The sequence below is a fragment of the Homo sapiens genome, chromosome 8 (genome assembly GCF_000001405.40).
Source record: "Homo sapiens chromosome 8, GRCh38.p14 Primary Assembly".
NCBI lineage: Eukaryota > Metazoa > Chordata > Mammalia > Primates > Hominidae > Homo > Homo sapiens.
Window position 1 is genome coordinate 70,700,399 of NC_000008.11, and position 12,525 is coordinate 70,712,923.

At 36.8% G+C, this 12,525-nt stretch overlaps 1 protein-coding gene across 10 annotated transcripts in view; it reads left to right on the top strand.

The window, feature by feature from the left end:
- XKR9 (XK related 9) overlaps nt 1-12,525 on the top strand; it is a 396,467-nt gene that overhangs the window by 31,060 nt on the left and 352,882 nt on the right. For all 10 annotated transcript variants that reach the window (XM_011517527.4, XM_011517525.3, XM_011517524.4 and 7 more), the window contains one exon: nt 6,535-6,755. In XM_011517527.4, coding sequence (XP_011515829.1) covers nt 6,535-6,755 — 221 coding nt within the window. The remainder of the gene's footprint in view (nt 1-6,534; nt 6,756-12,525) is intronic.

Sequence of the window (12,525 nt, forward strand, 5' to 3'; positions counted from 1 at the left end):
CAGACAGGACCCTCAGCTGCAGGTCTGTTGGAGTTTGCTAGAGGTCCACTCCAGAACCTGTTTGCCTGGGTATCAGCAGCGGTGGCTGCAGCACAGCGGATTTTCGTGAACTGCAAATGCTGCTGTCTGATCGTTCCTCTGGAAGTTTTGTCTCAGAAGAGTACCCAGCCATGTGAGGTGTCAGTCTGCCCCTACTGGGGGTTGCCTCCCAGTTAGGCTGCTCGGGGGTCAGGGGTCAGGGACCCACTTGAGGAGGCAGTCTGCCCGTTCTGAGATCTCCAGCTGCGTGCTGGGAGAACCACTGCTCTCTTCAAAGCTGTCAGACAGGGACATTGAAGTCTGCAGAGGTTACTGCTGTCTTTTTGTTTGTCTGTGCCCTGCCTCCAGAGGTGGAGCCTACAGAGGCAGGCAGGCCTCCTTGAGCTGTGCTGGGCTCCACGCAGTTTGAGCTTCCCAGCTGCTTTGTTTACCTGAGCAAGCCTGGGCAATGGTGGGCACCCCTCCCCCAGCCTTGCTGCTGCCTTGCAGTTTGATCTCAGACTGCTGTGCTAGCAATCAGCGAGACTCCGTGGGGCGTAGGACCCTCCGAGCCAGGTGTGGGATATAATCTGCTGGTGTGCCGTTTTTTAAGCCCCTCGGAAAAGCGCAGTATTCGGGTGGGAGTGACCCGATTTTCCAGGTGCCGTCTGTAACCCCTTTCTTTGACTAGGAAAGGGAACTCCCTGACCCCTTGCACTTCCCGAGTGAGGCAATGCCTCGCCCTGCTTCGGCTCGTGCACAGTGTGCTGCACTCACTGTCCTGCGCCCACTCTCTGGCACTCCCTAGTGAGATGAACACGGTACCTCAGACGGAAATGCAGAAATCACCCATCTTCTGCGTCACTCACGCTGGGAGCTGTAGACCGGAGCTGTTCCTATTCGTCCATCTTGGCTGCCACCTCTCTGTCCTGCCTTGTTTTTCTTTGTTCTCTGTAGGTCAGGTTGTTTCCTTGATTAATTCCAATGTGAGTACCTGGATGTTTCATTCGAAGATGTTGTATTTACTTGCCCCTTCTGTTTCTCTCTTAGAGCCAGGCACACTAACTGCTTCTAGTCAGCCATCTTGGCCACTTCACATCCCCACCCTTTTCCTTTCTCTTTGTATATTTTTAGTTCAGGAAGTGGCAGAATACTGAGATAGACAGTGAGAAATGAGCAAAAATTAGAACAGTTCATAAAAATGGGCCAAATTATCCAAAGGTTTGTCCAGGCTAAGTATTGCAAAACCTGAGATTTGCTGAATTGTGGATTTGTTTCCCTAAGGAATAGAAAAATTGAATTCATGTTGGTAGATGAAAGACAAGGAATATCAATATGAATTATTTATTAGGTATGTGTGCCTCTTGCTACTATGTATGCCATTACTGTTCAGGGGTCTGTGGAGTAGGATGTTTCATTTTCCAGAATATAAATTAAATGACAGTTTTGCATTTCTATTTGATGTGTGATTTGTGATAAAAACCTCTCTCTGCCAAAGGAGAGTTTTCTTTTGATGGATATATGAAAGGCATTTTAATTATTTAAAATGTGGAAATGGCTTTTGCTCTTTTTAGTACATATAAAAAGTTTAAATTCTATAAAAATGAATATAATGGGAGTTGAATCTCCCTCCTCCCACAGATTCTTAGGCCCTTGTATGGAGTTAAATGGGCATTAAATAGTTGAACTCTCCTTCTTACCTATTTTTCAATTTAAAACGCCTTAGAGAGAGGTCATGTAGTTATGTTCAAATTTATTAGGGTTCAATATTTATAAAACTTTAGGATAAATTTTACCTCAGTCTCCAAATCTTTGGGGATTTAAAAAATATGTTGGTTATTGATTTCTCACTTAAATTTATTATAATAACATACTTCATAGGATTACAGTCTTTTTGCCTTTATTAAGACTTGTTTTTATAGCCCAGCATGTAGTCTAACTTGTTGAATATTCCATGTGCATTTGAAAAGAATTTTTAACTTTCAGTTATTGAACGTAATGTTCTATAAATGTCAGTTAGGTCAATTAGGCAGATAATGTTAAATTATCAATGTCCTTATTGATATTTTTAAGGTCTCCTTTTCCTTTCAATTACTGAGAGGTGATAAAATCCTCAACTGAGAATGCGGATTTATCTTTTTCTCACTTTACCTTTGTCAATTTTTGCTTTGTGTACCTTAAAGCTCCATTAGGTGCATACAGATTTTAAAATATTATGTATTCATGATGAATTTATTCTTATATTATTATGACATGTTGATCCTCTTTATCTCTGGTAGTATTCCTTGATTCGAAGTCTGTTTTGTCTGGGATAGTAATATAGCCATATGAAGTTTTTTATTTGGTGATTTCCTTTCAAACTATCTGAGTCTTTATGTTTAAAGAGAGTCCCTTCTAAAACACATGAATTTGTATCTTGCTTTTTAAAAATCCAGTTTGATAATCTCTTTTAATTGGAGTGTTTAATCCATTTACATTTAGTGTAATTATTGATATGGTTGTTTTCTGACTTTTGTTGTTTCTGGTGAGAAGTCAGCCAACACTCTCATTGTTTCCCTGTGAGGAATATGTCTTTTTTCTCTATTTTTCAGGCTTTCTTTTTACATTTGATTTTCAGCAATTTGAGTAAGATGTACCTATGTATGGTGTTTGGGTATTTATTTTGCTTGGGTTCATTGAGCTTTTTGAGTCTGTATGTTACTGGTTTTGATCAAATGTAACAAATGTTTTGGGTTAATATTTTTCCAAGTGTTTTTTTTTTGCCCCTCTCTCTTTTCTTCTAGGATGTCAATTTTACCTGTTATTGTTGTTTTGTTCATTTTTTTTTCTCCTAAAATTTTCCCCTTTGTGCTTTAGTTTGGGTGATTTCTCTTGACCCTTAGTCTTAGTCTAGTGAGGTCTTAAGTCTTTTGAGTGTTAGTCTAGTGAGGTGGCTATAAAACAAAATACAGGTTTTAAACAACAAAAATTTATTTCTCAGTTCTGGTGGCTGGGAAATCCAAGAGCAAGGTGCTGGAAGATTTGGTGTCATAGATGGTGCCTTCTTGTGGTGTTCTTACATGGTGGATGGGCAAGGCAGCTCTCTAGGGCCTCTTTTATAAGCACACTAATGCCATTCATTTTATCATCTTCAAAAGGCTCTCCACCTCAAATATCATCACATTGGGGAATAGGTTTCAACGTATGAATTTTGAGGTAACCCAGACATTTAATCTATTGCACCTATCTTCATGTTCACCAATCCTACTTTTGTTGCTCTTTTCTGCCTTGTTTTCTTTTATATTTTGTCTGGAATTTATATTTGTAATCAGTAGGGGAATCAGCCTGATATGATGTAACTCATCATTACTGGAAGCTGGTGGCTTTTTGTTTCAAATAAAAGAAGATATAGGGATAAAAATATGGGAATACACTATGTTAAGAAAGCCCTCTCTGTTTTTCTTTTTTTTGGCCTATTCATCATTTGTTTCATAAAAGTGAAACAGGCTGGGCGTGGTACCTCACGCCTGTAATCCCAGCACTTTGGGAGCCTGAGGTGGGTGGATCATGAGGTCAGGAGATCAAGACCATCCTGGCTAACACAGTGAAACCCTGCCTCTACTAAAAATACAAAAAATTAGCCAGGCATGGTGGCGGGCACCTGTAGTCCCAGCTACTCGGGAGGCTGAGGCAGGAGAATGGTGTGAACCCGGGAGGTGGAGCTTGCAGTGAGCAGAGATTGTGCCACTGCACTCCAGCCTGGGCGACAGAGGGAGACTCCATCTCAAAAAGAAATAAAATAAAATAAAATAAACAATAAAATAAATAAATAAATAAGTGAAACTGTGTCCTATTGATTAAAAATTATATTCATATTCCTTTTTCCATGAAATTACCCTCAGATAAGCAGAACTTTGTATATATTTGCCATTAATTGTTTCAGAATTAGAAAATATTTCTACCTAAAGACACTGGACATTAAAATGTGTACATTTGTAGACAGCACTATCTGTTTTGTTTTTAAGAGACACTTAACATGTGCCAGGTCCTGGTCTAAGCATTTTACATATATTAACTCATTTAATTCTCACATCAACCCAATGAGGGAGGTATGATGATTGGCCCTATTTTCCGGATGAGGAAACCAAAGCACAGAGAGATTAAACCAGGAAGTAGTGGAGCCAGAATTTGAACCACGGCATTCTGGCATTATTAGAGTCTTGCATTCTTAACTACTTTGCTCTGCTACCTCTCTCAATTTCTGCTGTGTGTAATAATTATGCTCTGGGTATGTTTATACTTGTGAATTTCTCAAGTTTTTCAATAGTATCTACCCTATTGGATTATAAACAACTTCAAGAACAGGAATCACATACTCTCTACTATGTCAGATACCCAGAAAAGGCTAAAACACGACTTTTCTTAGAAATCTTGCTTATAAATCCTGGGCAGTATTAATCATTTTTTTTCTTCTGTACTTACAGCTCAACATTTGCCTTTCTAATGAATGACTATTTTTTTTCTGCCTTATACTGCAGCTAGTAGTTTATAGGCTTGGCCCTCCCATTAGGTTGTGAGGTCATTGTGGGTAGAGACCATGCCTTCATCAGGGAATGTTATTCCAGAACTGTGATGGTAAAAATATGCTCCTTTTTGCCAGACAAAGAATCTTTGCATATCCATATATTTATCTTATTTACAATGGGAATACTTTATATTTGTGTTTTACTTTCAGCTTTCCAAAGCCCTTTCATACCTACCATCTATTTATCTTTATGGAAAAAAATGTCATGAGCTTTCATTTATTACTTCAGTAAATATTTCTTGAGCACCTATTATGTGCCGATTCTTAGTTGTTTAGGATATAGCAATGAACAAAACAAAGTCTGTCCTTTCATGTAGATTACACTCTTGTGAGAAGGTAAAGATAATAAACAAAAATAAATAATGTGCTAGGTGGTGATAAGTACTTCGAAGAAAAATAATATAGGGTAAAGAGATAGAATATGGTAGAGAGTACTACTTTAGGTGGTATGATCTGGTAGGCATCTATAAGTAAGTAATATTTGAGTAGAGACCTGAATAAAGTTAAGGAGCAAACTGAAAATATATGGAGTTTAGAAGAGTTCCAGACAGAGGAATTAGCAAAGACAAAGGCCCTTAAGTTGAGAAAAACAGCAAGGAGGCCATACTGGAAGTGGGAGAGAAATGAGATGGAAAGGTAGTTGTGGTGGTAGCATGTGTGGGAAGTAGACCATGGAGGGCCTTGTAACATATGATAAGGACTTCGGATTTCGTTCTAAGTTTGATGGAAATCATTGGAACATTTTCTACCCCAATGAGTAGTGACATCTGAATTATGTTTAAAAAGTTTAATCTGAATGCTGTGTAGGGAATAGCTTATATGGGGAGCAAGAGTAGAATCAGAGAGACCAATTATGAGGTTGTTGAAAGAATCCAGGCCAGAGAGTTGGCTGCTTAAACAAGGGTGGTAGTAGTGGAAGTGGTAAGAAGTGTTTAGATTCTGGATATATTTGAAGTTAGAACCAAGAGCCAAGCGAACTTGCTGAGGAATTTTTATAGCACATGAAAGAAGAGGAATTGGAATTATTCCCACATTTTTGGTCTGAGCAATATAGTGAATGTTATTACCATTTACTGAAATGGGAAACGTTGGCAGAAGGAACAGGTTGAAACAGGGCATATATCACTGCCTTTATTTTATATGTGAAGAAACTGAGACATATATAAAGACTTTTGATAAGCTTTGGGGGAAGAATTCTGGTTGCCTTACTGCTAGCCTCAGATTTCTTCTAAATAAATGTTTCAATTTTTTTTGTTATCGATTTTATCTATGGGATGATAACTTGTGTTCACTTTAAAATTCTTTCAGAAGAAGAGTCTGACCAGGGATATTTCAAGAGTCTTTGAAGTTTTATATATTTTCTGGGATGGTAATGGTCAAAGAGCCTAGCATCTTGTAGGTATTGACTAATTGTTTTCTAGATTACATTTAAGGAAGATTCAATCTCATCTTCAACCTTGATATTCTCTTAAGGGAAATTATCTGTGTTGTAGTTCAGATCAATTGCATGAATGAAAAATTGCAGTTTGTCTTTCAGAAAGTAGTGGTTAATACTAGAAATAATAAGATCTGGGTTTGGACCCTGTGTCTACCCCTTACTATCTGTGTAACTTTCAGCACATCACTCTATCTTTCTCAGCTTTAGTTTTTCCATCTGTGAAATGGAATAATGTCTCCTTTTCTCACATAATTATTGTAAAGATGAAATGGGATTATGTATACTTAATAGAACTAGCACACAACTGGCACATCAAACATACAATAAAGGTTTACAGGGTCTGAATCTCAATAAAGCCACTATGAGATGTTCACAAAAAATCTGTAGTAGAGAGAGTTTGTGGAAAAACTGTGTACTTAAAACACATATTCCTTTTTCCAAATTATTATGTGTATTAACAGACATGTTACAAAGAATATAAAACTAAAGAGAAATGTTTATGTTTACTTTATAGGTATTGGTTTGCCTTAAAAAGGGGTTACCATGCAGCTTTTAAATATGACAGCAATACTAGTAACTTCGTGGAAGAACAAATTGATCTACATAAAGAAGTTATAGATAGAGTGACTGATTTGAGCATGCTCAGACTATTTGAGACCTACCTGGAAGGCTGCCCACAACTTATTCTTCAACTCTACATTCTTCTGGAGCATGGACAAGCGAATTTCAGTCAGTGTAAGTTTTTCTTAACTCCTTGTGTTAAATGGATGCCACTGAGACCTTACGTCAACTATATAAATCTTTGGCTGACTTTAGAAATTTTTAATACTTTAAAAATTATTTATTCTTTTGAAAAGGAAGTACAGTAACATGGTTGAAATATCAAAAAGTATATAGATAATATACTGTATTCATCTGCCCAGAAAGAAAACTGCTATTGTTAGTTATTTGATGATTCCTTCAGAGAAGTTTTTAAAAGCATATGTCCTTTTTTTTCTTTTTTCTTTAACACAAATGGTAACATAAAATAAAAACTGTCTTTGTTTTTTGTGCCTCATAGTATATCTTGGAGATCTGTTCATCTTAGTACAGAAAAATTTCCCACATTCATTTTTATTATCTGCATAGTATTGCAAATTATGAATGTGCCATAATTTATTTAACAAACTCCCTATTTATGTTAATTTAGGTTGTTTCTTATATTTAACCATTGAAAAAATGCTGCAACGAGTAATCTTATGCATAAATCACTTGCATGTAAAAAGTATATCCATTGGGTAAATTCCCAGAAGTGGAATTACTGGGTAAGAGTGTAAATGCTAAAAAACTAATGAATGTTTTGCAAGTTGGCCAATGTGTTTGCTGTTTTACAGTAGATTTGTTTGTTAAGGTAAAAATGTTCATTTTTTAAAGAAAAGTCTATTTCCATCTTCCTTTTTGAAAAATCCTTTTATAGGTAATTAACTTGAGATGTTAAAAAACAATTTATTTGCTAAATAATAATCACAAATTGCATTAATGACTAGGGTTCCATTTAGTTTCGGATTTATTTCAGGGGATAAGATTGTTATCTTCCCTGGAGTTCTTGCTGTCCTAGACTCACATGTTATATCAGTTAAACAGTGTCTCTGTTCCCATTTTCCTGTAAACCTCTAGAACATGGTCCCTTCTAATATTTTACCTTTACTTTGATTGTTAGTAAGACACAAAATGATTGTGTGTATGAGATCTCTATTGTGTATGAGATCTCTTTTTTGTGATGCAAATAATTCATGGATTGGGTTCTATATGATACGGAACCCTTAACAGTTCTGTATTACATAGTTCTGAAACTAGAGGTACAAAATTTAGATCTTACAGCCTGTATTATGGGAGATCTTATGATAATTCCAAGGGATACATAGCATCTGGACTACCTATGAGATCCAGCTATCTTTATATTCAATCTTCATCTATATAGTTTCTTCTTGAAGTAGGAAATTGAGGTAAGTTATTTAAAAATAGCATAAAATGAGATATAATTCAATTGTCTAACAATAGAGGAATTGGTAAATAAATTATTGTAGGTTGTTAGTATGGAACATTATGTAGCCACTAGAGTGTTTACAAAGAACTTTTAATGACACAAGAAAGCAATTATAACGTAGAATGTAGGCAAAACACAGTTTATAGAATTTTCTGTCAGCACATTTTTAAGGTTACAAAGAGATTATTATATAGAAAAATATCTGGAAGAAAATATGCAAAATGTTAAGTGTGTCTGCTTCTGGGTGGAGGAATTATGAATGATTGTTTTCATTTAAAAAATATTCTTCTGGATTTCCAAATTTTCTATAGTAACTATGTATAAAATTATGTTATACGAGTTCTGAGATTAAATCAGTAACAAAAAACCTACCAACCAGAAAAAACCTTAGACCAGATGGCTTCATAGCTGAATACTATCAGATGTATAAAAAAGAGCTGGTATCAATTCTACAGAAACTATTCCAAAAAATTGAGGCAGGAATCTTCCCTAATTTATTCTCTGAGGTCAGCATCATTTTGATGCCAAAATCTGGCAGTGACACAAGAAAAAAAGAAAACTCCAGGCCAATATCTTTCATGAACATAGGCACAAAAATCCTCAACAAAATACTATCAAATGAAATCCAGCAGCACATCAAGAGGCTGATCTAACATGATCAAGTAGGCTTTATTCCTAGGATGCAAGGTTTATTCAACATACATAAATCAATAAATGTGATTCATAAATACAACTAAAAATAAAAACCACATGATCATCTCAATAGACACAGAAAAGGCTTTTGATAAAATTCAACATCCCTTTATGTTACAAACCCTCAACAAACTAGGCATCAAAGGATGCCCGGGAATATACGTAAAATAATGGAACCATCTATGACAAACCCACAGTCAACATCATACTGAGAATGGGCAAAAGCTGGAAGCATTCCTTTTGAGAACTGGAACAAGACAAGGATGCCCATTCTCACCACTCCTGCTCCACATAGTGCTAGAAGTACTAGCCAGAGCAATTGGGTAAGTGAAAGAAATAAAAGGCATTCGAATAGGAAGAGATGAAGTAAAACTATCCCTGTTTGCAAACAATATGATTCTATACCTAGAACACCCCCATGGTCTCTACCCAAAGGCTCCTAGAACTGATAAACAACTTCAGTAAAATTGGTATACAAGATCGATGTACAAAACAGTAGCATTTTTTTACACCAGCCATGTCCAAGCTGAGAGCCAAATCAAGAATGCAATCCCTTTTACAGCAGCCACAAAAAAGAATAAAATAGCAAGAAATATAGCCAGCCAGGGAGGTGAAAGATCTGTACAATGAGAATTACAAAACACTGTTAAAAGAAATCGGTGGTGACACAAACAAATGGAAAAACATTTGATGCTCATGGACAGGAAGAATCACTATTGTTAAAATGGCCATGCTGTCCAAAGCAATGTACAGATTCAGTGCTGTTCCTATCAAATTATCATTTTATACAGAATGAAAAAAAGATTCTCAAATTCATATGAAACCAAAAGACCCCAAATAGCCAAAGCAATCCTAAGCAAGAAGAAAAAAGCTGGAGGCATCACACTATCTGACTTCAAACTATACTACATGGCTACAGTAACCAAAACAGCATGATAGTGGTATAAAAACAGACATGTAGACCAATGGAACAGGTTAGAAAGCTCAGAAATAAAGCCTCATACCTACAACCATCTGATCTTCGACAGAGTCGACAGTAACAAGCAACAGGGAAAGGACTGTCTATTCAATAAATGGTACTGGGAAAACAGGCTAGCCATGTTTAGAAGATTGAAACTGGACTCCTTCCTTTTACCATATACAAAAATCAACTCAAGATGGATTAAAGACTTAAACATAAAATGAAGAATTATAAAAACTCTAGAAGAAAATCTAGGAAATACCATTCTGGACATAGGCCTTGGCAAAGATCTCATGACAAAGACTACAAAAATGATTGCAGGCTGGGCACTGTGGCTCATGCCTGTAATCACAGCACTTTGGGAGGCTAAGGCGGGTAGATCACTTGAGGTCAGGAGTTCGAGATCAGCCTGGCCAACATGGTGAAACCCCATCTCTAGTAAACATAGAGAACAATTAGCTGGGTGTGGTGGCATGTGCCTGTAATCCTAGCTATTCAGGAGGCTGAGGCAGGAGAATCGCTTGAACCCAGGAAGGCGGAGGTTGCAGTGAGCCAAGATCGCACCACTGTACTCCAACCTGGGTGACAGAGCGAGACTCCATCTCAAACAACAACAACAACAACAAAAACAAATAAACAAACAAAAAACAAAAGCAATTGCAACAAAAAAAAAGTTGACAGGTGTGACTTAATTAAACTAAAGAGCTTCTGCATGGCAAAAGAAACTATCAGCAGAGTAAACAAACAACCTACAGAATGGGAGAAAATATTTGCAAACTATGCATCCAGCAGAGGTCAAAATCTAGAATCTATAAGGAACTTAAACAAATCAAGCAAAGAACAAACAACCCCGTTAAAAAATGGACAAAGGACATGAACAGACATTTCTCAGAAGAAGACATACCTGCAGACAAGCATATGAAAAGCTCTATTTCACTAATAATTAGAGAAATGCAAATCAAAACCACAATGAGATACCCTTGCACATCAATCAGAATGACTGTTACTAAAAAGTCAAAAAATAGCAGATGTAGGTGAGGTTGCAGAGAAAGGGGGACTGTTATACAAACTGTTGGTGGGAATGTAAATTAGTTCAGCCATTGTGGAAAGCAGTTTAGAGATTTCTTAAAGAGCTTAAAACAGAATTACCATTCAACACAGCAATCCCATTACTGGGTATATATGCAAAGGAATATAATTGTTATACCATGAAGATGCATGCATGCAGATGTTCATTGCAGCACTTTTCACAATAGCAAAGACATGGAATCAACCTAGATGTCAATCAGTTGTGAATTGGATAAAGAAAATGTGGTACATATATACCATGGAATACTACAAAGCCATAAAAAAGAATGAAATCATGTCCTTTGCAGCAACATGGATGCAGATGGAGGCCATTCTCCTAAGTGAATTAATGCAGGAACAGAAAACCAAATACCACAGTGTTCTCACTTATAAGAGGGAGCTAAACATTGAGTACACATAAACACAAAGAGGGGAACAATAGACATCAGGGCTTACTTGAGGATGCAGGGTGGGAAGAGGGTGAGGATCAAAAAACTATGTATTGGGTACTAGGCTCACTACCTGGGTGAGGAAATTATTTGTATACCTAACCCCAGTGATACACAATTTACCCATGTAAAAAACCTGCACACGTACCCCTTGAAACTTAAAAGTTGGAAGAAAAACACAAAGAGGGGAACAATAGACATCAGGGCTTACTTGAGGATGCAGGGTGGGAAGAGGGTGAGGATCAAAAAACTATGTATTGGGTACTAGGCTCACTACCTGGGTGAGGAAATTATTTGTATACCTAACCCCAGTGATACACAATTTACCCATGTAAAAAACCTGCACACGTACCCCTTGAAACTTAAAAGTTGGAAGAAAAAAAAGTCAGGTTGTGTATAGTAGTACTTCAGAAGACTGAACGTATTCTTTTATTTCTGCTCCTTCTGAAATCGTGCTTTTATTTCTGTTCCTTCTGAAATCACAGTAAAAGAGTAAAAACAGTATAAGCACATAAGGACAGAGAGTGCAGAGTAGAATAGCAGATTAGAAATATCAATAAATGTTTAGAAGATGGAAAGCAGATGGAAAACCTAGGTTATTTAAATCAACCCTTCCACTGAGAGGCTAAGTTATTCAACTCTTCCCCTGAAAATATCTAAAAATATTGGATAAAATATCTTTAAAAATCTTCCTAAAACATAACATATCTGATAAAACAGGCCAAAATATGTATGACAGTGGGAAAGCAGCATAGTTAAGTAGGACTCTGAAGGCAATTATACTCTGAGGGTTTTACTGAACCTTATAAACAATTTCAAGTTTGATGACTTTTCAGGGCACAGAAGACAAAACTCAGGGTCCTCACAACCTTGGTGAGGAACCTCTCTCCCCTAGTAAATTATAATCCATAAAACTGGGACTCCAAAAGGTACCCTTCTCAGGGTAAGAGTAAAGTTACCTACCTGACTCCTGACTTCAAAGAGTTTGCAAGTAATAGTGTGTTGATGCTGAGTAGAGCAGAGAAAAACGTCCTTGAGAAGGTGTACATTTTTGCAACCAAAATTTACAACTGTTGGCTAGTCCAAAAAACAAACAAAATAACTCCCCCTGCAAAACAAAGAAACAAAAACTCTAACAAAAGACAAGCCATGAATATAGTTTAGAGTGATTCTAGACTGATAGTACCCCTACATGTCTGGCAGAAATAAGAATAAATCCTCCCTGGAAGAATTCACCTTCTCTTAGGCCTCAAATAATTTTTACAAAAGTTTTCAATGGAAAACAAAAGTTTGACAGTAGTTTATAGC